Source organism: Homo sapiens, chromosome 5 (assembly GCF_000001405.40).
Source record: "Homo sapiens chromosome 5, GRCh38.p14 Primary Assembly".
NCBI lineage: Eukaryota > Metazoa > Chordata > Mammalia > Primates > Hominidae > Homo > Homo sapiens.
Window position 1 is genome coordinate 16,737,463 of NC_000005.10, and position 19,325 is coordinate 16,756,787.

Genomic DNA, 19,325 nt, shown 5'->3' on the forward strand with positions numbered 1-19,325 from the left:
GGAAACAAAATAGACATTTAACTGAATGACTAAGTACATCCAGAAAGTGTGAAACGATACACCATTTTCTATTTTAGTTGAATAGTAAAACACACAGTTAAAAGCAATAACAAATGCTATATAACAAGTTAACTTACATGTAGATGCCGTTTTTATTGACAGCAAATAAAAAATAAGAATAAAAACCAAGAAATCATCAGCATCGACAGCCCAGTGGTTTTCAAGAGGAGGTGGTTTTGCCCCCTGGGGGGCACCCGGGAAAGTCTGGAGACGTTGAGAGAGGAGAGTGTTACTAGCGTCTAGCAGGTAGATGCCAGCGCTGCTTTGAAGCCTCCTTCAAAGCTCAGGCTAGAGCCCAACAACAAAGAATAACCTGTCCAGCTCAAAATGCCAGTACTGCCGAGGCCAAGAACCCTGACTTATCCTGATACATAGGAAAAGGGTTAAGCAAGAATCATCTGTTTGAGATAGCTGACGCGGAAGGAAAAGGATGTGAAGTTTAATTATGGACACATTTCAGTTCAAAGTGCTAAACAGGTGAAGCAGAGTAGCACGGAACTAGAAAATCTAGAAAACTAGGAAAATCAAGTAAGTTACAAAATTAAGGGAGATGATGAGGCCAAAGCTTAGAGGAGGGTTTTGAGGTGGAAATACACAGGGGAGAGGTACTCACCTAGCCTGGAGCTGAAGGAGAGAAGCCAGTGTTTCTTTTGGAGCCCAGCGAGTGAGAAACTGGGGGCAGAACCCGAGGCCATGCCTACCTCCAGAGGAACCAGTCAAGAGGAGGAGGGGTGGTCAGAGAGGTGTCAGGAAGGAGGGGTGGTTAGCAGTGTCCCAGGCCTGGGAGCAGGGGTGGGGATTAAGAGGCAGGGCAGAGAGAAACTGTGCTGGCTGGGAAGCTTCCTGCAGAAGGGTAGCAAGTGCAGCCTTGATTGCCTGGCATTAGAAAGAAGAAAATAGTCACAGACTCTTTTTGGAAATGTTTAGCAGTGAGGAGAAGATTGCTCAAGGTGAGGGAGCCCAGTCAAGTTCCTATTCGCCCTCACTTCTCCCTTCTCAGCAGGTGTATGTGTATGTATATCTATATAATCATTCAGCTCCCAGGGGAGGCAAGACAAAGTTAAAAAAACAACAACAACAAAAAAAGAGGCCGAGCATGGTGACTCAGGGCTGTAATCCCAGAACTTTGGTATGTCAAGGCGGGTGGATCATGAGGTCAGGAGTTTGAAACCAGCCTGGCCAACATGGTGAAACCCTGTCTCTACTAAAAATGCAAAAATTAGCTGGGCGTGGTGGTGCACGCCTGTAATCCCAGCTACTCAGGAGGCTGAGGCAGGAGAATTGCATGAACCTAGGAGGCAGAGATTGCAGTGGGCCAGGTTTGCACCACTGCACTCCAGCCTGGGCAACAAAGGGAGACTCCATCTCAAAAAAAAAAAAAAAAAAAAAGTACACAACTGTTCTTCAGAAAAGGTTGCAACAATTTATACTCCCAGCAGCAGAATAGCAGAATCCATTAATGGCAGTTTCTTCAAATAGTCACAGAAACCAAGAAGTGTTATTAAAAAGCAACACAGAGCCAGGAGCAGTGGTGTGCCCCTATAGCCCCAGCTACTCCAGTGCCGAGGCAGGAGGATCTCTTGCAGCCAGGAGTTTGAGACTGTAGTGTGCTATGATTGTGCTTGTAAATAGCCCCTGCACTCCAGCCTGGGCAACATAATCATGTCCCAAAAAAAAAAAAAAAAAGCATAAAACCATTAAACCATTCAATCCTCACACTAGCAAAAGTATCTCATTTTAAACTTCATTTATTTGATTACACTATTGAGAACTTCAAGTAATTTTATATTTCACCTTTTGCAAATTTCTTGTTTCTGTTTTTTACTCGTTTTTCTACTAAAACATGTTCTTATTGATTTGTGAAGGCTCTTTATATATTAAAGCTATACATCCATTGTTATACACATTGGATATATATATCTTGTTTGCTGTTGGCTTTAATGAGGGCAGTTTGGCTATATATACATCAAAGTCATAACAACGTGCATATTCTGATTGGCAAATACACTTTCAAGAATTTACCTTAAGGAGAAAGTATTTGTGCACATGAAAAATACAGTACTATTATTTGCAACAACAAATAAACAATCCAGTAATAGAAATCTGACTTGAAAGTATAGCCACTGACAGAATTTTATAGTCATGAAAAAATGCGAAAGAATGTTTCAAGATTTATTAAGTTAAAAAAAAAAGTAGGTTACAAAATTAAGGTAAACTATGATCCCAATTTAAAGGGAAGAAAAGTATATACACAACAAATATAAAGAGGGTTGTCTCTGGCTGGTAAAATTATGGGTAACTAATTTTTAAAACATTTCACATATTTCCCTAATATTTTATAATCAGTAAGAATCGTCTTTATATTGAGGAGGGGTGAACGCAAACCCCAGCATCTAATGCGGTGGTGTTTTTATTATTGTCACTATTCTTTGTCGCATATTTTTGAGGGTCATAGAAAGAACTTGCCGGAGAAAAAAACAAGGAAAGTACCCCTAGGATGAAGAAGAACAGAGTGAAGTGCTGAAGAGCTAATGAAGCAGAGTGGACCATCTGCACAGATGAGAGAAGACCCAGGGGAGTTTCAGACCCTGATCTTGAGAACCGCAGTCCACCCCTAACCTCTGGTCTCCAGTCTCAAACCTGGCCCTTTGCTCCAGAGTCTTCTGAGGGAGTGACAGCTGGGAGGGAGGCTGATGGGGATTTGGGAATTGGTCCTTTGTAGCCGCTGGGGGAGCAAAGTGAGCTTTAGAACAAAGTCACTACCAGAAAGCACACATTGAGGGGGCTGCCCGTGAAAACGTTAATTCAGGGCGGCTAATGCTTAGAGGGGAAAAAAAAATATCTCAGTCTGCATGAGCTAGACGGACAGGGGTGGGAGTTGGGGGTGCAGGTAGGGGAGGGAAGGGATTTGCTCACAGTGGGAGCAGGAGTGCCATTCAGATTGGACATGATTCAGTAAGTTCATCAGGATAAGCCAAAGTAAAAATGCAGTGGTGGAAGCTGCAATTATGTACACCCCATTTTAGCAGCTGGCACCTCCCGGGAGGGAAGCCGACCGACTGGGGTCGCCTCTCTAATTGCACCACCTTCCCGTACATATCCTTCAGCCACCGAGGCATTCAGCAGAGAGAGGGAAGCACTTCTGTATTCCATCATTCCAGCCCTCTCGCAAGCAGCAATGCGGTTCCGGACCTGAGGACCCACATTTGTAAACTAAACAGAAGCGAGGTATGAGAAAACCAGTTTAACGTTGTAAGAGAGGTAGAAAATATGTGGCATTTTCCCATAGACAACTTACCTTTGCCTCTTTCTTATGAGGGTAATAAGTGTGTGTCAGATTAATTACTCTCTAAAATTGATGGCAAAAAAAAAAAAACCCAACATTCTCATACTTGGTTTTCGCTTAGCACCAGAAATCTTATCTACGCGACGAAAGCAGATTTAGCCTAGTAGCAGTCAGCCAAGTGCTTATTCATTTCTTTTAAATGTAACTCGATTTAATATGAAAGACCACTTTCACAATGAAAACACCTCCCTTCCAGGGCACATTTAGCAACTGAATAGACATCAACTGAACACCATTCCTCCATCGGGGGGAGGCAGAGATTAGCATTTCAGTCACTCTTTATTTTGTTCTTTCTTTGGGGACCTCTACTTCGGGGAGTAAAGGGAATCCCAACAGAATATGCCTCATCAGGTTTTTCCAGGCCGATTGCAAAATTCCAACATGTGTATGCTTGTGTGAAACAAGCACATGATATTCAACAGATGACCATTCAACTCCGATAACATCTCACATTTCCATACTTGCGTATGAACAGGTTTATAATGCGATTAAAAAAGAGATTATTCTTGTGCAGATTTCTTTAAAGGTTCCTATAAAGCACGAGGCAGGGAAAAGCTGGATGACTGCAGTGTATAAACTCTTAAAGAAAAATACTTTGGAAAAAATTCAAACAAAAGAAACCACCAATTTCCCCCTTCAACCTAATATTAAAAAAGAAGTTTTCCTATAAAAGGTGAATTCCATATGAAAATATATTGCATTATCAACGCCTTAACTGATCAGTGAATTGTGTCCTTCATTTTTACAAAAAAAAATTTGTAGTTCAAACTTGTACATGCAATCAAAATCAGCACTAACCCACTTGTAAACACTTCCGTGCCTGGAGAAACAGCAAAATCTGTTCCCCGTGTATGATCTCTGCAGTTTTACAATACCATCATCATGGCAAGTTACATGAAACTTTTAAGCAGAACAAGAAAGAGAAAAATCCCTACCTTGGGTTTTCTTTCACCCCTTCAGTTTCTGTCCACTGTAAATAGCTGCATCTTTAGCAGTCCGGGCAAGGGCATCTAAGCTGACAGACACAAAAATGGGCTTTCTTCGGCTGGCTGGTGTTCCCAGCCTTTTATGTGGTGCGTCTCGGGCTGTGCTGCTTAATTCATTCCTGATTCTACTCAAAGGAAGTCCAGCCTGGCGAGGCTGACGTGATAGGAACTGCTGAAGACACTTTTGACTGCAGGGGCAAACTAACCATCATGCACGCATCAACAAATGTGTAATTACATTTCAGGGCCCAAAGATTCTTGATTTTAAAAGCCAATCAATAATTTTTTTTTAAAAAAAGTCCCAGGACAAAATCAAGCAGTTTAGTTGTGATCTTGGAAAATCCACCCAGAGAACAAGAACAGCACTCTTTGCTGGTGCTGAGCTTCACTCGCTGCAATTTATCCTGATCTCTACAGAGCTCTGATGAATAGTTTCCATGACAACTTGGTAAACAGGATGGAAGTGACCACTGAGGGCTTTACTGGGATTGTTTTGTTTAGGGAGAAGAATGGTTGCTTTAAATGCTTCCTTTACTAAAATTTCCTCCAAAGGTAAAAAGGCAGCTTTTTACAGGTCTTCTATATGAAATGTTTTCAAAAGTCAAAGATGCTGGCAATGGGTGCTCCAGGTGCAGGAGACAGTCAAAACAACAGGGGACATGAGTGGCAATCAAAAACCAGAAGGGCCCGCATGGTGGCTCACGCCTATAATCCCAGCACTTCGGGAGGCCTAGGTGGGTGGATCATTTGAGGTCAGGAGTTCGAGACCAGCCTGGCCAACATGGTGAAATCTCATCAACACAAAAATTAGCCAGGCATGGTGGTGGGTGCCTCTAATTCCAGCTACTCGGGAGGCTGAGGCAGGAGAATTGCTTGAAAACAGGAAGCGGACATTGCAGTGGCTGAGATCACACCACTGCACTCCAGCCTGGGTGACACAGAGCAAGACTCGGTCTCAAAAAAAAAAAAATACATACATAAAAAGGCCAGGCGTGATGGCTCACGCCTGTAATCCCAGCACTTTGGGAGGCTGAAGCGGGTGGACTGCCTGAGGTCGGGAGTTCGAGACTAGCCTGGAGAGCATGGAGAAACCCCATCTCTACTAAAAATACAAAATTAGCCGGGCATGGTGGTGCATGCCTGTAATTCCAGCTACTTGAGATGCTGAAGCAGGAGAATCTCTTGAACCCGGGAGACGGAGGTTGCAGTGAGCAGATACTGTGTCACTGTACTCTAGCCTGGGCAACAAGAACAAAACTCCACCACAAAACAAAACACCAGGAAGGATTATGGAATGTCAACGAGGTGCTTTCCAGTAAGTACACAGAGGAAATGAGCCATTCCCAAAGACTAACCAAATGCACAGAGGAGTGAAAGGGGCTGACAACCTGGATAATTCTAAGAAGTCCTAACTCGCAAGTTGATGCTTCTGCCCTCTCTATCCTTCCATTAATCTTGTCCATATCATTCACCAGTTCTATAGTGAGCAACAGAAACTTCATTCTCAGCTGGACACGGTGGCTTACGTCTGTAATCCCAGCACTTTGGGAGGCCGAGGTGAGTGGATCACCTGAGGTCAGGAGCTTGAGACCACCCTGGCCAACATGATGAAATCCCATCTCTATTAAAAATACAAAAATCGGCCAGGCGTGGCAGTGCACACCTGTAGTCCCAGCTACTCGGGAGGCTGAGGCAGGAGAATTGCTTGAACTCGGGAGGCAGTGGTTGCAGTGAGCCGAGATTGCACCACTGCACTCTAGCCTGAGTGAAAGAGTGAGACTCCATTGCAAAAAAAAAAAGAAACTTCATTCTCAATGCTTCACCCTTTGACCAGGGAATCAGAAACCTCCCATTCTTATAGAAAATGACTTGGAAAAAAATGTTTGTTACATTATGAACTGATAATAAACATCTGGCATTTTGACACATGACAGTACTTATTTGTCAAAAGTCAAAGAACCATACAACACAGACAGTGGACTCCTAATATCAACTTTGGACTTTAATAATAATGTAGCAATACTGCTTTATTATAACAAATGTACCACATTAGTACAAGATATTAATGAAAGGGAAAATGGTGGTGGAGGGGGGCAGTGTGGAAACAGTCTGTAGTATATGCTCACATTTTCTGTAAATTTTTTAATGTTCTTTAAAAAAGTCTATTAATGTTAAAAATCAAGATAAAAATGTCCATCCCGTGACAATGCCAAAGACTAAAGGAAAAACTTTTTTAAGGCTCCTTATGACAATCTGTCAGAAGTGATTTAAAACTTAAGAGAGAAAAGGTCTTAAAACAGTTAGATTTTCCTGTGACTCAGCTTAAATTTGGGATTAAATTTGTTAGGACAAAATAAGTGGTAAAAATATAAACATATAATGTAAGTATGTGTTATTTTACATACACAATAACATGTAGCTGTATCATGTCCCCATGACCTCACTTAATACACATAACCACCCTCCCTCAGTAGGTACTGTCAATACACACACGTTAAACACAGGGAAAGGACGCCCGGCCACACAAGGTGTAGTGATGAGGCCTGGGCGAAACCTGGGTGCACACCTTTGATCTATTGTATCGGTGGCTTCATGGCTCCTCTGCACCTGGGTGGCTGTGCGATACCCTTCCCATGCCAACGGGATTATGGTGTATCATAATGTGCTAGACCCAGAGCACCCCGACACCCTGGGTCTCAGCAGGCGCGGCGCAGGGCTTCCTGTGCCCTTGGTGCAGGACATGAAGGACTGAGTCACCCAGGCCCTGCGGGTAACTAAGCAGGCTTGCAGAGGGAGCGGTGGCTGGGGCTGGGGAACAGGTGGGGTAGTGGTCAATGCAGCTGTGGGAAAACAGTCACAAAAGATGAAACAGAAAATAAAAACAAACAACATGAAAGCAAACACAGGCAGTAAAAAGGTAAGCAAAGCTCTAAAAAAAAAAAATCCTAATCGCCCACAAGAGCTTTGAGATGGTATTGCATAATGTGTTGATGTTTAAACAAAAATTCCGAGATAAAATTATGCTCAGAGGCTGTTTACTGGAGCAGGAAAATGTATTCTTATTAAGAGCTTAAAAATATTTGACACGCTCCTATGAACGAATATCTGACATTTTCACATTAATCTCAAATGGCCAGAAGAAGAGCAGCGAATGGAAGATGCAGAAATGCAGATTTCATTCATTACAATTAAGACCTTTCCCAGGCCGGGCGCGGTAGCTCACGCCGGTAATCCCAGCACTTTGGGAGGCAGAGGCGTGTGGATCACCTGAGGTCAGGAGTTTGAGACTATCCTGGCCAACATGGTGAAACCCCGTCTCTACTAAAAATACAAAAATTAGCTGGGAGTGGTGGCGGGTATCTGTAATCCCAGCTACTCTGGAGGCTGAGGCAAGAGAATTGCTTGAACCCGGGGGAGGTGGAGGTTGCAGTGAGCCAAGATCGTGCCACTGCACTCCAGCCTGGACCAAAAGCGAGACTCCATCTCAAAACAAAAATAAAAACCTTTCCCATGAACACTAAGGGCTTAAAAAACAAAAATTCAAAAGCAGACCAGGCACGGTGAGTCACATCTGTAATCCCAGCACTTTGGGAGGCCAAAGCAGGAGAATCGCTTGAGGCCAAAAGTTTGAGACCAGCCTGGGCAACACAGTAAGACCTCGTCTCTATGAAAAATTAAAAAATTAGCCAGGCCCAGTGGTGGTGTATGCCTGTACTCCCAGCTATTTGGGAGGCTGGGGCAGGAGATTGCTTGAGCCCAGGAGTTCAAGGCTTCTGCGAGTTATGATAGTGCCACTACGCTCCCGCCTGGGCAACAGAATAAGACCTTGTCTCTCAAAAATGAAAAAATTAAAATTAAAAAATTAAAAAAGCACCTGGCTACCTTTAAGTGTTAGGAAAGATTAAATTCTCTGTTTCTGAGGGTTCCTTAGGAAAAGGGAGGATGATCCCTTTATGTAACATTTAAAAGAGAGAACTAGATCATATTTCCTCAATTCTTAATGCATACATGCTCCCATGTGGACATGCTGAAACTGGGATGTGTCTCAGACATGCTGTTGTTCTAAGAAAGAGGTCCCCGTCCAGACCCCAAGAGAGGGTTCTTGGATCTCATGTAAGAAAGAATTTAGGGTGAGTCCATAGGGTAAAGTGAAAGCAAGTTTATTAAGAAAGTAAAGGAATAAAAGAATGGCTACTCCATAGACACAGCAGTCCCAAGGGCTGCTGGTTGTCCATTTTTATGTTTATTTCTTGATGATATGCTAAACAAGGGGTGCATTATTCATGCCTCCCCTTTTTAGACGATATAGGGTAACTTCCTGAGGCTGCCGTGGCATTTGTAAACTGTCACGGTGCTGATGCGAGTGTCACAGTGAGGACAACCAGAGGTCACTCTCGTGGCCATCTTGGTTTTGGTCAGTTTTGGCCACCTTCTTTACGGCAACCTGTTTTATCAGCAAGGTCTTTATGACCTGTATTTTGTGCTGACCTCCTATCTCATCCTGTGACTTAGAATGGCTGCGTCTGAGAATGCAGCCTAGTAGGTTTCAGCCTCATTTTCCCCAGCTCCTATTCAAGATGGAGTTGCTCTGGTTCAAACATCTCTGACACTACCACCCAAGCAGCCACCATGCTGCGACCAGTGCCTGGATGTGAGTGAATTTCATCATAATTTTTGTACTATCTTTGCAAATTATGGACACTACTGCCACTCCTCACATCAAGTCCAGCTGTCTTTTAAGCGGAGTTGAAATATCACACTACAGATTTACCAGTGAAACAGAAAGTTATTTTATCTGCAAAAAGGCCTGGAAACAGAAAAGCAAGGTGCCTATTTGTGGTGGATGAATGACCTCCATTTCATACTTTCTGCAAAGCAACGAGCAAGAGCTAAGCGATAAGAAATCATTGTGCTCTGCTGTAATCGGTGGTGCCTTTGCTTCCACAGTGACAGGAAACAAGGATGCATTTTACACTCTTGGAATTTAGATTCTGTGAAACATGGCAATAAATAATGTTTGGACAGAGTGAATAGTCTATAATTCCAGAAAGTTCCATCTCAATGTTAAAATCTAATGTTTAATTAACCTTTCAGTTTAAACCTTGTCATGTGGCAGACCCTCACACCCAGACTCCCTGCCCAATTGTGGCAGATAACAAAGGCCTGTGGGTGAATACCCATTTGGAGATGGGGATATTTGTATATGAAGCATCAGCCCTCAGATCAAGAAGTATTTGTGAATGAGCCCCTGGTGCTGTGCTTGGCTGTTCCTAAAGGGCCCTGAACCTGAGGTGGGGCTATGTCTAGAAGGGGTCAGCTGAGGGAGGTAGACAGGGCGAAGGAGCATGTCAGCATAAAAAGATTGATACACATTAAAGACACCACCCCAATACTGACCTACTGGCGATGCCCGGGTATCCTCCAGCTACACAAATCAAAGATGATCAGAAGAGAAAAGCATGCCAAAAATAAAATAAATCAACTAAAACAGAATCTATGGCAATAGTTACGTTTTTATCTTTCGCACAGTTGAGCACTCACACACCATGAGCAATTTCTACAATGTACCATGATGAGTAACTCAACGTTACTGAGCACCTATAAATAGTCTGGACCCTGAGGTGTGCAGCAGGGTGCAAAGGCTGAGACAGGCCCTGCAGAGCTGCACTTGGTCTTCTATATTCACTGAACACTTTATTCACAAACTAGCATTAGGGCAAAGAGACCAAAGTCAAAAGCTTAGTAAAGCTAAAGAGAAACCAGATGCATAAAAGAAGATAGAGGCTGGACGCGGTGGCTCACACCTGTAATCCCAGCACTTCGGGAGGCCGAGGCGGGTGGATCACGAGGTCAGGAGATTGAGACCAGTCTGGCTAACACAGAGAAACCCCCGTCTCTACTAAAAATACAAAAAATTAGCCGTGCGGGGTGGCAGGTGCCTGTAGTCCCAGCTACTTGGGAGGCTGAGGCAGGAGAATCACTTGAACCCTGGAGGCGGAGCTTGCAGTGAGCCGAGATCGTGCCACTGCACTCTAGACTGGGCGACAGAGCGAAACTCCGTCTCAAAAAAAAAAAAAAAAAAAAAAAAAAAAGAAAAAAAAAAAGATACAGGAAGAAAAAAAAAGAGAAAAAGATAGAGGAAGAATAACATGGGACCCAAAATTCAAGGCAAGAAATGTGTCACATTATCATCCGAACTTTTTAAAGAAATATTTTGTCTTTGTTTTTTTCTTTGAGACAGGTCTCACTGTGTTGCACAGGCCGAAGTGCACTGGTGCGATCTCGGCTCACTGCAGCCTTGACCTCCCAGGCTCGGATGATCCTCCCACCTCAGCCTCTCAGGTAGCCGGGACTACAGGTGTACACTACCACTCCTGGCTACTTTTTGTCTTTTTGAAGTTTTTTTTTCTGAGACAGAGTCTCACTCTCACCCAGGCGGGAGTGCAGTGGTGTGATCTCAGCTCACTGCAACCTACACCTCCTGGGTTCAAACAACTCTCGTGCCTCAGCCTCCCAAGTAGCTGGGGTTACAGGTGTACACCACCACGCCCAGCAAATTTTTGTTTTTTTGGTAGAGATGGGGTTTCACCACGTTGGCCAGGCTGGTCTCGAACTCCTGGCCTCAAGTGATCCGCGCCCCCCCGCCCCCCATCAGCCTCCCAAAGCGCTGGGATTACAGGTGTGAGCCATTGCTCCTGGTCAGGTCTGAAATAAAGAAAGGAAATGAAGAAAGGAAGAAAGAAAAGAAAAAGAGGGAGAGAGGGAGAGAGGGAGGGAGGGAGGGAGGGAGAAATAGCAGGCAGCACCTGGATTACATAAATATAAATCCCCGGGAGGAAATGTGCTAGATTCATTAAATTCATTCATCAAATTATTACACCTCTGGAAACAAAAGGCTCATGCTTCCATAATGTCTGCACAGAGCTCTCACTGCATGTGTGTGGTCATGAGTTGTCTAGGATGTTGTCAACCTGAGGGGCTGAGTCTGACCTAAGAAGGAAGCCCCGTGGAAGAGAGGAATACAGGTCATCAGGACTCATTTATGTGAAAGGAGCTGACATCCCCCCAAAGTCCTTTACAGAAGACCCCTGTGTGAGATGGTTTACACATCCTCATCTTCATCCTTGTGTCTCGGGGTAGAGACAGATGGGGCTCCAAGATCGACAGCCCACAAGGCTCACGTGACCTCCCTAACTCCACTCCACGTCTCCAGCTTCCTTCTCTCACTTGATATTCCATTTTCCAGCAAATTTGGCTGCATGGAAACTCTAGCCCTGCTGGTTTCCCTCCCCTGAGGCCTGGTCTTCAGCCTCCCCCAGCACAGGCATCTTTCCCTTCTTCCCTTCCGTAAACCTTACTCCATGCTGCACGCAGTGGCTCCCAGCACTTTGGGAGGCTGAGGCAGGTGGACCACTTGAGGTCAGGAGTTTGAGACCAGCCTGGCCAACATGGTGAAAAGCCATCTCTACTAAAAATACAAAAATCAGCTGGGCGTGGTTGCACATGCCTGTAATCTTCGCTACTTGGAAGGCTGAGGCAGGAGAATCGCTTGAACCCGGGAGGTGGAGGTTGCAGTGAACTGAGATTGCGCCACTGCACTCCAGCCTGGGTGACAGAGAGACTCCACCTCAAAAAAAAAAAAAAAAAAGATAAACCCTATCCCAAGAGGCTGCTTGTGCTAGAGGCCTTCTTCCACCAGAAACCAGTCCCAGAAACATTAGGTGATTAGGCCCCTGCCTTTCTGGAGAAGGCTGGACTGAATCTTTGAGGGTATTGTTCTGTCAAGTCAAAGATTTAAAGATGATGCTGCTGGAACCCATGACGTTTCCTTCCTAGAATCTGCATCCTGGACACAGCAAACCTAAAGACCAAACAGGGAGGAGAGCCAGCCAGACGTGTTCCAAGAGGCAGCCCAGGCTGAATCTGCAGGCAACTGCGGGCAACTGGTTCTCAAACCCCAGAAGGTGTTCCTGATGTGTATCAGTCTGTTCCCTTCTTTAATTCTGCCCTGAACCTCCTCGGGGCTTTTCTGAAGAATGTTAATGAGAGACTTTTCTGCCTGGAACTTACTTGCTAAAACACCAGGCAGGGACACCCTTGGGGAGGTTCTGATGAGGAAAAGCAGGTTTTCTATCTTAGAGAAATCTGTGGTTGGCTGGAGCACTTTTGGGTACCACCGCCACCGCCCAAGCAAATCACAATCAAAAAAGCTAGAAGTCCTCATTACCAACGAAAACTCGTGGAATGGAGAAGTCTACCCTTTGTGAACTCTGAAAACTCTAAGTTCAGAGGAGGGTAACATCCAAGGACAAGGCCCACTGCAGACTGGCGTCTCTCGGGAAGCAGGCTTTTCTAGGTGCTTCCTCGCTGAGCGCCAGTGAGGCTAGCAAACTGCCTTCTATACAATACCCAAGATTAGTAAAAGGCTGTTTATAGAAAAAGAAAAAAGCCCACATATTGTGACAGCCGAATTGACATATGCGTTCAGCATTTCAATTATACACTCCTCCTTTGCACCTGTTTTTCAAAACAATACATAGAAAACCCAAATTAAAAAAAAAAAAATTAACAACCCAAACAAAAGCTCACAAAGGATTTCTAGATTCTTCAACCCCAGATGCGCGTTCTGGGGTTCAAACACTTGGCAAGGAGGAGAGGCAGCCTGCCGTAGCAGCCAGGGCGGGTAAAGGGGGTGTGCTCCCACTAGCCCGGCGAGTGTGTGAGTCTTTATGCCTGAAGGCACAAAAGCAGCTACAGGTGTTTCTGTTGTTCCAATGCTACAGGTCTCTAGGTTATGGACTTTACAGCTGCCATTCTTATGTCTTTAAGATCATATAACACACACAAAAAGATACTTCTGACCAGGCTCAGTGGCTCACACATGTAATCCCAGCACTTTGGGAGGCCGAGGCAAGGAGATCACCTGAGGTCAAGAGTTTGAGACCAGCCTGACCAACATGGAGAAACCCCATCTCTACTAAAAATACAAAATTAGCAGGGCGTGGTGGTGCATGCCTGTAATCCCAGCTACTCAGGAGGCTGAGGCAGGAGAATCGCTTGAACTCGGGAGACGGAGGTTGTGGTGAGCTGAGATTGCACCATTGCACTCCAGCCTGGGTAACAAGAGCAAAACTCTGTCTCAAACAAACAAACAAACAAACAAAAAACTTCTATATTTTCTAAAACCCATGCTCCTTGCTTCTGAATAATACACAAAATACCTAAATACACACATATTTGAATACGATCTCCCAAGTCCTTCGGTGGACTGCGACTGGAGAGGAAAATGAGGTGAGGAGAAACCGTCTCATCCCTCCACGCTGAAAATACACATTCCCCATCTCTGGAGAGGAAGAAGGCAAGATTTTTCCTGCGAAATTTCTATAAGAATCTATCTTTGGATTAAAAAAAATATATAAGGAAGTCTAAATAAAGGTCATTTGCACACATTTCACAGAACATAATAGGTGGTGACAGTCCGATATTTCCAGTGGAACCAAATGAATGCTAATCGAGCCATAGCTATCTTGCCATAATCAAATTAGCATCTCCATCTACCATCACACCTGCATTTTAGGCCTCAGACAAGTCAGCTCTTGTGCCTCTGCCTTCACTTGCTGAGTGCCTTTATTTTTTCATTTTTTTGAGACAGAGTCTCACTCTGTCGCCCAGGCTGGAGTGCAATGTCGTGATCTCAGCTCATGGCAACCACCACCTCCCAGGTTCAGGTAATTCTCCTGCCTTAGCCTCCCAAGTAGCTGGGATTACAGGCACGCGCCACCAAACCTGGCTAATTTTTTTTTTTTTTTTTTAGTAGAGACGAGGTTTCACCATGTTGGCCAGGCTGGTCTCCAATTCCGCCCATCTTGGTCTCCCAAAGTGCTGGGATTACAGGCGTGAGCCACCGCCCCCACCGCTCCCAGCCTTCTGAGTGCCTTTAAAAGGGCACCAAGACATTCTTGGAAAGGTTTCTATAGCCTATCACTGGTGCGTTATTAATTAGTGTCTGCCATACTTCAGGACATGTAAAGTGAGCCAATACAAATGCAAACGTGAGGTTGAGTTAGTTCATTTTCTAAATGCAAAATTCAAAGCAATTAGGTACTATCAAATCTCAGCATGGAAAAATAAGGTCGGTTCTGCAATAGTCTGGCTGCTGAACTGCTTCCAAGCAGGCCTAATTTCAAAAGCTAGTACAATTTATAGGAAAAACTAACTCTGTGCCATCCAAGAGAGAAAACAGAAACACTGGGGACTGAGTATTTCAAATTAAAGTTTCTACTTTATTATAGCACTGCCAGGGCAGGAATTTAAGATGCCTACGATTGTAAAACTGTTTCACACCACGAAGAATGGGAAAAAAGCTTCCAATTAGACTATGGCTCACCAGAAACTGTGAGATGCATCCCAGCAACCGAGACTTTATTTTTTTAATTTGTATTTTTTGAAACAGAGTCTTGCTGTATTCCACAGGCTGGAGTGCAGTGGCGTGATCTCGGCTCACTGCAGCCTCCGCCTCCCGGGTTCAAGCAATTCTCCTGCCTCAGCCTCCCAAGTAGCTGGGACTACAGACGTGTGCCACCACGCCTGGCTAATTTTTGTATTTTTAGGAGAGACAGGGTTTCATCATGTTGGCCAGGCTGGTTTCGAATTTCTGACGTCAAGTCATCCAACCTATCTCTCAGCCTCCCAAAGTGCTGGGATTACAGGCGTGAGCCACCACGCCTAGCCAAACACCCAGGACTTTAAATTGACAAAAGACCTTGCACGTTTGAAAGATTAAATATGGCACTATCATCCTTATTGTAGAAAGAGGAGAGAACGCCATCGGATACTGAGCAACTCCTGGGAGTCTACATCAAGCACCAAAGCCCACTTCTATTGTCTGGTAAATACTGCCCACCAGAGTGTACAAAGCAAACCAAGTGGAACATAAACCAGCTACGTGACATAGTGTTATCTATGGAGAGATGTTCCAACTATTAATTTCCTACACTATGTCCCCAAAAAAGCTATGCATTTTTTTATGTTACCATTTTTTTGGTGATAACCTTAAATATTTTGACATACTTTTGAAAAACGGAAAGATGGGTTACTTTTTAAACTACCAGAATCATGCACATAAAGTCAGCACAGATCTTCAACAGAAAACCACTTTGTCACTTCAGGTCACACAAACACCAAATTCTCACCATCATATCTCACAGTAAGGTAACAAACTGAACAGGTTATTTTCTCTTAAAGAGATGTCCAATTTTGCCTCTCTAGAAGACAGATAATTCAACATTGTGGTTCTGGTTTTTTGTTGTTGTTGTTTTTGTTTGTTTGTTTTGAGACAGTCTAGCTCTGTCGCCCAGGATGGAGTGCAGTGGCATGACCTCAGCTCACTGCAAGCTCCGCCTCCCGGGTTCAGGCAATTCTCCTGCCTCAGCCTCCCAAGTAGGTGGGACTACAGGCACCTGCCACCACACCCAGCTAGTTTTTTAATATTTTTAGTAGAGACGTGGTTTCATCATGTTAACCAGGATGGTCTCCATCTCCTGACCTTGTGATCCACCCGCCTCGGCCTCCCAAAGTGCTGGGATTACAGGCGTGAGCCACCGTGCCCGGCCTTTTTTTTTTTTTTTTTTTTTGGGAGACAGAGTCTGGCTCTATCTCCCAGGCTGGAGTGCAGTGGCAGATCTTGGCTCACTGCAACCTCCACCTCCTGGGTTCAAGTGATTCTCGTGCCTCAGCCTCCTGAGTGGCTGGGATTACAGGCACGTGACACCATGCCTAGCAAATTTCTGTATTTTTAGTAGAGATAGGGTTTCACCATGTTGGCCAGGCTGGTCTCAAATTCCTGACCTCATGTGACCCGCCCACCTCGACCTCCCAAAGTGCTGGGATTACAGGCGTGAGCCACCATGCCCGGCTACTGTGGTTCTTATAAGCATACATCTTTAAACTATAAATGAGGAATCCATGCAATATTAAGCCAAAGGCAACTGGTTGGCATTATAAAAGATAAGATCCAGCATCAGTCAAATTACCAGAATATAATAAACCAAGTCTCATGGGAAACAGTTCAGATCAGATTTTTTACCTTAAACCTTATGAGGATGGCATCTAGTTCTTTAACATTAGCTCTTAAAATTACAATTAAATTTTACAATTTAATTACATTACAATTAAATTACATAAAAATTACATTACAATTAAATTACATAAAAATTACATTACAATTAAAATTTGTAGGGGTTTTCTCACATAAGAAGCATTCCTAAGAGGCTGTTTGCTGAATCAAAATAATTTAAATGTATTAACAATACTTTAAGACAAGCTACCTAATTAGCTGTGGATTCAGCGACTGCATATATCTAACACTATAGTTTCTTTGTTTAGGTAGCTTTTCCTTTTTAAGCTCACATTCCTTGTAATCGGATTATGAAATTAGAAAGCTAAAATCAAAGAGCCAAGACATTAATACTTATGACAACCTTTAGAGTGCTTTCTAATTAGTTATAAACAACTATTTAAAGTACTTAAAATCTAGCATTACTACTTAAAGCCTCTTCATCGTGTTTAAAATAACAATAAAGCAAAAAAAAGAAGGAAAGAAAGACAAATAAAAACTTTAAAAAAAAAATCAGCCACCACACATCAAATATTTCCTGTAAAATGATGTATCACACTCTGAAACTTTTCCCAAGAATTTTAAACCAAACGCTAAAAAAAAAAAAAAGTAAAGGCTTCACAATGTTTCCTTTTCAAATAGATGTCCCTAAAGCTTAATAACATCACTCAAAAGCAGACTAACAGGCCCAAGGGACAAAGGGAACTTTTTCATTTCATGTCAAGTTATAATAATGTCATATCCATTTCCAACCATCTACAATGAAAGGACTTTGGAGAAACCAAATCTGTGAGTAACCACCCCAGGAGGCTGTGTCCCTCGAGACAGATCCCAGCCTAGGACTGTCATCAATCTTACCTTCTGCATGTTTGGCTTGATACAGCGAACAAAGAAAGGATTAGAGGAGCTTAGCGTTGCCATTAAGGAATGCAGTGAGTCCTATTAGAAAAAGTATATGTTGATTTAGTCTCTTATTATGTCATTCTTTAAATTTCTCAGTACTCTAGGCACTTAGAAACAATAATTTAAAAAACACAATATAAATCATAGGACTAATAACTTAGAGGTTTTCATTTTTTAATTGTCATTCTAATATAAAATAAACATACTGAGTCAATGTATTAATAATTGAAATTATTCGATAATACACCAAACTCATTTATCACTTCCTTTGAAATAGTAAAATTCTATTTTATTTATTTATTTATTTATTTGAGACGGAGTCTCGCTCTATCACCCAGGCTGGAGTGCAGTGGCGTGATCTCGGCTCACTGCAAGCTCCGCCTCCCGGGCTCATGCCCTTCTCCTGCCTCAGCCTCCAGAGTAGCTGGGACTACAGGCGCCCGCCACCATGCCCGGAGAATTTTTTGTATTTTTAGTGGAGATGCGGTTTCACCGTGTTAGCCAGGATGGTCTCGATCTCCTGACTTCGTGATCCACCGGCCTCAGCCTCCCAAAGTGCTGGGATTACAGGCGTGAGCCACCGCGCCCGGCCTGAAATAGTACAATTTTAATAAACCATTCTGTCAACAAACAAAAATCATCCTAGGATATTTCAACGTTTAGTACAGAAAAACTGAGAAATAGCCACTCTTCCACTGTCATTATTCTTCCCAATTCATTAGTTCCATCGAAATGACAGTCTATGCCAGCACTTCACTGGTCTCTGAGCCACAATCTCTCACTCTTACCTTCAAATCGCCAGACTTACAGACTCCAGATCAATCTTTAATACTACTTTCTTTTCCAACTTTTTTTTTTTTTTTTTTTTTAGAGTTTTTAACATTTACCAAAGCAGACAAAAGCATACAATGAGTTCTCATTACCAGCTTCAGCTCAGGGCTAATCTCATTTCGCCTGATCCACACATACTATACCCACCCCTGTGGAAAAGCAAATCCCAGACATGATGTGATTTCCTCCAGCAGCATTTCAGTATGTAGGATTAAAGGCTAAACACTTTAAAGCACTGTGTAACCACAGCATCATCACACCTGAAAAGATGACATTAATTCCTTAAACTAATATTAAAATGTGCAATGGTCTCACATTTCATATTAAAATGCTCAACTGCTTCAAATTTTATGATTTTTAAAAATTTTATTATTTATTTATTTATTTGAGACAGGGTCTCATTCTGCCACCCAGGCTGGAGTACAGTGGTGTGATCACAGCTCACGGCAGCTTCAACCTTCCAGACTCAAGTGATCCTCCTACCTCAGCCTCCTGAGTAGCTGGGAATACAAGGGCATGCCGAATAACTTTTTAATTTTTTTTGTAGAGATGAGGCCTCGCTATGTTGCCCAGGCTGGTCTCGAACTCCTCGACTCAAGCAATCTTTCCACCTAGGCCTCCTAAAGTGCTGGGATTACAGGCATGTGTCACCATGCCCAGCCCATAAATTTTAAAGGGTTTGTTCTTTTGCATCAAAATGCAAATATGGTCCATTCATTGTAATTGGTGGATGCATCTTTTCAGTCTCTTTTAATCCACTGGCTTTCCCTCCATCTGTCTCTTTTTTCTTCTCATAATCTTGTTGAAGAAAACTGAACTGTCTGAACACTACATGGATTAATTACTTCTCCAGCTCAGAAAACTTTAAAATTTCTCACAAGACAAAACATCCTGACATTCACGGCCCTTCATATTTTGATACCATCTTAAATTCTCACGAGGTGTCCTGTCCGGCTGGTGTTCTACTGTCTGTTGACAGTCCTCAGAGACAGGACTTGCATCTCTGTGTCTGGGCTCTTCTCCTGCCTTCGCCTGCACCTGGAAAGCTCACCCACCCTTTTCCATTTCCTTCACTGCTAGTCCA

At 43.4% G+C, this 19,325-nt stretch overlaps 1 protein-coding gene across 4 annotated transcripts in view, besides 4 other annotated features; it reads right to left on the reverse strand.

The window, feature by feature from the left end:
- The window catches only part of MYO10 (myosin X), a 274,382-nt gene that overhangs the window by 75,556 nt on the left and 179,501 nt on the right, over positions 1-19,325 (reverse strand). For 2 of the 4 annotated variants that reach the window (XM_006714475.4, NM_012334.3), the window contains one exon: positions 17,366-17,446. In XM_006714475.4, coding sequence (XP_006714538.1) covers positions 17,366-17,446 — 81 coding nt within the window. Of the gene's footprint in view, positions 1-673; positions 727-4,341; positions 4,448-17,365; positions 17,447-19,325 lie in introns of those variants that run through there. The other 2 variants (XM_005248307.3, XM_011514046.3) reach the window with 2 other exon arrangements.
- Positions 3,465-4,369: an enhancer, noted in NCBI's record as "OCT4-NANOG-H3K27ac hESC enhancer chr5:16741036-16741940 (GRCh37/hg19 assembly coordinates)". NCBI's record gives its function as "activates a minimal SCP1, AML or CMV promoter by ChIP-STARR-seq in naive H9 embryonic stem cells {active_cell/tissue: H9 hESC(naive)}" and the evidence as "EXISTENCE:reporter gene assay evidence [ECO:0000049][PMID:30033119]".
- Positions 4,370-5,275: an enhancer, noted in NCBI's record as "OCT4-NANOG-H3K27ac-H3K4me1 hESC enhancer chr5:16741941-16742846 (GRCh37/hg19 assembly coordinates)". NCBI's record gives its function as "activates a minimal SCP1, AML or CMV promoter by ChIP-STARR-seq in naive H9 embryonic stem cells {active_cell/tissue: H9 hESC(naive)}" and the evidence as "EXISTENCE:reporter gene assay evidence [ECO:0000049][PMID:30033119]".
- Positions 17,097-17,737: an enhancer, noted in NCBI's record as "NANOG-H3K4me1 hESC enhancer chr5:16754668-16755308 (GRCh37/hg19 assembly coordinates)". NCBI's record gives its function as "activates a minimal SCP1, AML or CMV promoter by ChIP-STARR-seq in naive and primed H9 embryonic stem cells {active_cell/tissue: H9 hESC(naive and primed)}" and the evidence as "EXISTENCE:reporter gene assay evidence [ECO:0000049][PMID:30033119]".
- Positions 17,738-18,378: an enhancer, noted in NCBI's record as "H3K4me1 hESC enhancer chr5:16755309-16755949 (GRCh37/hg19 assembly coordinates)". NCBI's record gives its function as "activates a minimal SCP1, AML or CMV promoter by ChIP-STARR-seq in primed H9 embryonic stem cells {active_cell/tissue: H9 hESC(primed)}" and the evidence as "EXISTENCE:reporter gene assay evidence [ECO:0000049][PMID:30033119]".